The 4110-nt window shown below is 45.5% G+C and overlaps 1 long non-coding RNA gene across 1 annotated transcript; it reads right to left on the bottom strand.

Annotated features, from left to right (window-relative positions):
• Positions 1–541: 541 nt before the first annotated feature.
• On the bottom strand, positions 542–4110 carry LOC124903772 (uncharacterized). Its single transcript, XR_007065196.1, has 2 exons — positions 4002–4110; positions 542–703 (listed from the first exon to the last, which is right to left on the bottom strand). It is a non-coding gene; the product is annotated as an uncharacterized LOC124903772 (long non-coding RNA).

Raw genomic sequence — 4110 nt, 5'->3', positions numbered from 1 at the left:
TCACTGATTAGATAAGAATGAGGCTAATGTCCAAACTATATCTACTCACTGGTAATTTAGAAGCAATGGATGTTATGTCATACCAAATTAACTGCAGCTAATAATTAGAAACAAAAAATTAAAAATAAAAGAATTCCATGTCAAGAAAGGCCTGCCCTCAATTCTATATATGGTGGATAAATCCAGACAGTGTGTGTGTGCTCAGGGAGTTTCCCTGGAAGCATGACCCTCTCACAGGGAGGGAGAGAGAGTGGGGATGGCTCCTGCTGCCTCTAGAACAGAAAGGACTCATCTGCAGGTGGCTCCTGGGGAGAGGGGTGCTGGATGATTAGGGAACCAAGAAGGGAGAAGACCCTACACCCCGGTAAGTCCTAGAGGGACTTCTTGTTTGTCCCTCAGCAGGACAATAATTAGTGGACTTATTATTTGTCCACTTGGAAGGGACAAATATGGTCTGGGACAGAATAAATGTTGTCTCCCCAGGCTTTCTCCAGTGAATGCAATCGCCAATTTAAAAGGAAGAAAAACATATCAGACTGAGTAGCTAGAAATGAAGTATTACTATTATAATGATGACAAGGTGCTTAGGGTTAACATCACCGGCTTTGGGAGCCCAACTGCTTGAACTCAAATATTCACAGCTCTGCTTACTCAGCATCCTGGGTCAAGTTCCTTCCAGTCCACTCTCCCTCCGCTTCCTCATCTGTAACACAGAGATAATAATGACTTTCACCACCTCATCAGGATGTATAAGGGGTTAGTGTACACATGCACTGTGCATTTCAGCACTAAATACATACTCAGCATTGCAGCCCGATGTGGTGACACGAGAGCTTCAGGGGGTCCAGAAGGCTCCATATTCCTAGTTCAGTCATCTTTTTTGGGGGATATCATTCAGCCCCTTGGAGCCTCAGTTTCCTCATTTGAGAGCCAAATGACTGCCTCGCAGCATTATCATGAAGATAAATGGAATGATGAAAGGAATCATTCCCTAAGCTGTAGAAGGCATACCTGGTGATTGTGCAGTGCACAATCTGAGCAACCATATGTGTCAGTCCTGATAATGAACACAAAGCAGTTGGCATGTTGGAGATACCACCTCTGTGCCTCCTTTTTTGTAAGTTTGCATATCAAACCGTTGACTCTAACTCAAAGTCTTTCCTGCAAGCTTCCTCCACACTGAGTCCAGTGGATGTAAAAGCTGAGGAAGAACTGTGCCATCCTCAATCCACAAGGGTTCCTGCCCTCAAAGAAAGAGTTTGTAGCAGGAAATAGCCCAAGCCCTGCTGTAATGCAAGACTGAACTCCATGCAGTAGGCTCCAAGAGTGAAGCAACCTCACAGCAGGATAACAAAAGCCAGGAACAGCAGGAACATCTTTCCCCAAAGGAGAGTCACTGGGGACCACCTTGATTTAAATGTGTCAAGTGAAGGAGGGTGGAAGTGGCTGTGTCTGCAAAGGTGAGGAGTTTCATGCTTCAGAAAAGAAGGTCTGGCCAGGCACGAGCCACCGTGCCTGTAATCCCAACACCTCCAGAGGCAAGGTGGGTGGATCGCTTGAGCCCAGGAATGCAAGACCAGCCTAGGCGAAATAGCAGGACCCCATCTCTACAAAAAAATTAAAAATCAGTTGGGCATGATGGCGCATGCCTGGTCCCATCTACTTGAGAGGCTGACGTGAGAGGATCGCTTGAGCCCAGGAGGTTGAGGTGACAGTGAGCCATGATTGCACTACTACACGCAAGTCTGGGTGACACAAAGAGACCTTGTCTCAGAAAAAAAGAAAGGAAAGAAGGAAGGAAGGAAGGAAAGAAGGAAGGAAGGAAGGGAAAGAAAGAAAGAAGAGAAAGAGAGAGAAAGAAAGAAAGAAAGAGAAAGAGAGACAGCGAGAGAGAGAGAAAGAAGAAAGAAAGAGAGAGAAAGAAAGAGAGCAAGAGAGAAAAAGAAAGAAGAAAGAGACAGAGAAAGAGAAAGAAAGAGAGAGAGAAAGAGAGAAAGAAAAGAAAGAGAGAGAAAGAAAGAGAGACAGCAAGAGAGAAAAAGAAAGAAGAAAGAGAGAGACAGAGAAAGAGAGAGAAAGAAAGAAGAGAGAGAGAAAGAGAGAAAGAAAGAAAGAAAGAGAAAGAGAGAGAGAAAGAAAGAAAGAAAGAGAAGAAAGAAAAGAAAATAGGGTCATGCTGTCTCTCCTAGCTTCCTTCCTGAGTGCACCCAGTAGTGCCCACTCAACCCCAGAGCAGAGGTCAGGATGAAGGCTTGGAGAGGCTCTGGGGACTGGCCCCTAGTCCCCTCTCCTGTACCAGTCAGTTAATCCACTTCAAATGGAGCAACACAGAGAGAATCCCGAGTGACACCATTTTTCTATTACCCTTCATTACAGCCACTTAGATCTTTTATTTTATTACAAACATTCTTTAGCCCAGACACGGGCTGATCTCCTAATTGGAGCTGCTGCCTCCACCCCCACCCAGATCAAAGCCACCCTGTTTGTTTGTGGAGGATAGAGGATGAACCGTCTTGCCGGCCTTTGAACATGAAGGCCCCTTTGTCTTCCAGCTGAAGTCATCCCTGGCACCAGGCAGGGAGGAGGCTTCCGGTGGGGACGGTGGAGGTCAGGAATTCTGTAGCCTGGTCAGAGGCTTGGACCAGAGCTTGAGTGGGGAACAGCTTTCAAAGCAAGACCCCAAATTTCCCTGCCTCCCTTTGAAGAGTTGTCTCAAAAGGTGGCCCCAGGGAATGCCTTATTTGCCCCCATGATGATTTTTAATTTAAATATCAATTTGAATATTCAAACACTTTAAAAGATTGAGAAAAAATATCAGATATTTGAATATTTCTTAAAGAAATAAAATACTTTCTAATTTCTTTTCAAAAATCAGAATGTAGCCAGGCATGATGGCTCACACCTGTAATCCCAGCACTTTGGGAGGCTGGGGCGGGTGACACTTAAAGTCAAGAGTTTGAGACCAGCCTGGCCAACATGGTGAAATCCCATCTCTACTAAAACAAATACAAAAGTTAGCTGGGGATAGTGCTGCATGCTTGTAATCTCAGCTACTCAGGAGGCTGAGGCAGGAGAATTGCCTGAACCTAGGTGGTGGAGGTTGCAGTGAGCCAAGATTATGCCACTGCACTCCAGCATGGGCAACAGAGCGAGATTCTGTCTCCAGAAAAAAAAAAAAATCGGAATGTCTGGCAATACTGGACCTCTATTAGAGAAAGAGCCAACCAGTTTTCAGCCCTATGCAGGCTTTTTTTTCTTTCTTAACTGTTGCAATAAATTATTGTTTCCCTTGAGGTGTCTTCTTTCATATCCCTGGGCCCACCAGAACTTCACCTCTGCCACTGGAGATGATTGGGAGTGGGGAATGACTGTGCCATTTTACAGATGGGAAAATTGAGGCCCTGTGGCATTCAAATAGCTGCTGGGTGGTCACACAGAGGTTAATAATAGACTCAAGATGCAAGAAGTACAAGACAAAAGGAATGAACACTTATTCGTTCTCTCTTATTTTGAAATTATGGTCAATATAGCTATTGTGGGAAAGAAAAGCCCAACGAGCTGCCATCCCATAACCTAGAGATGCCTGATGCTAACACTAGAGTCTATTACGTGTGGGGAGCTGAGTGGACATTATCTACACTACACAACAATCCTATGCGGCAGTTTATATTTTCTAGATTTTAGAATAGAGAAAACTAAGGTTTTGGGGGCTCAAGGACTTGCCCAAGGTTACACAGTATGGCCAAGGTTGAGACCCAGGTCTGCCTGACTCAAAAACCTCAGGAAGTGGTTCCATTCTGGGTCCATCGTGAGCTGGGTGATATTAGACAAATTATTTCTCAGAGCCTCAGGTTGCCCTACACAATAGGGAGGTGTCTGCTCAGAGAACACACCTTCTACTCGGGGCTTGACCTCTGTCCCCCTCCCCCACAGCCTTATTTATAGTTCCCTACTCCACCCTCCCTGGAAACAGCCACCTGGACCAAGGGCAGACACTTTACCCAAGCTGAGCCGATCAGATCCTTCCTCCTTGGAAGTTCGGTTTGGGGCCTATTCCTGTAAAGCTGTGCTGGGACTATCCAAACTGGACCACAGGCAAGTGAGGTATGT

Source organism: Homo sapiens, chromosome 16 (genome assembly GCF_000001405.40).
Source record: "Homo sapiens chromosome 16, GRCh38.p14 Primary Assembly".
In the NCBI taxonomy this organism is placed as follows: Eukaryota; Metazoa; Chordata; class Mammalia; order Primates; family Hominidae; genus Homo; species Homo sapiens.
This window is presented reverse-complemented; position numbering and strand designations above follow the sequence as displayed.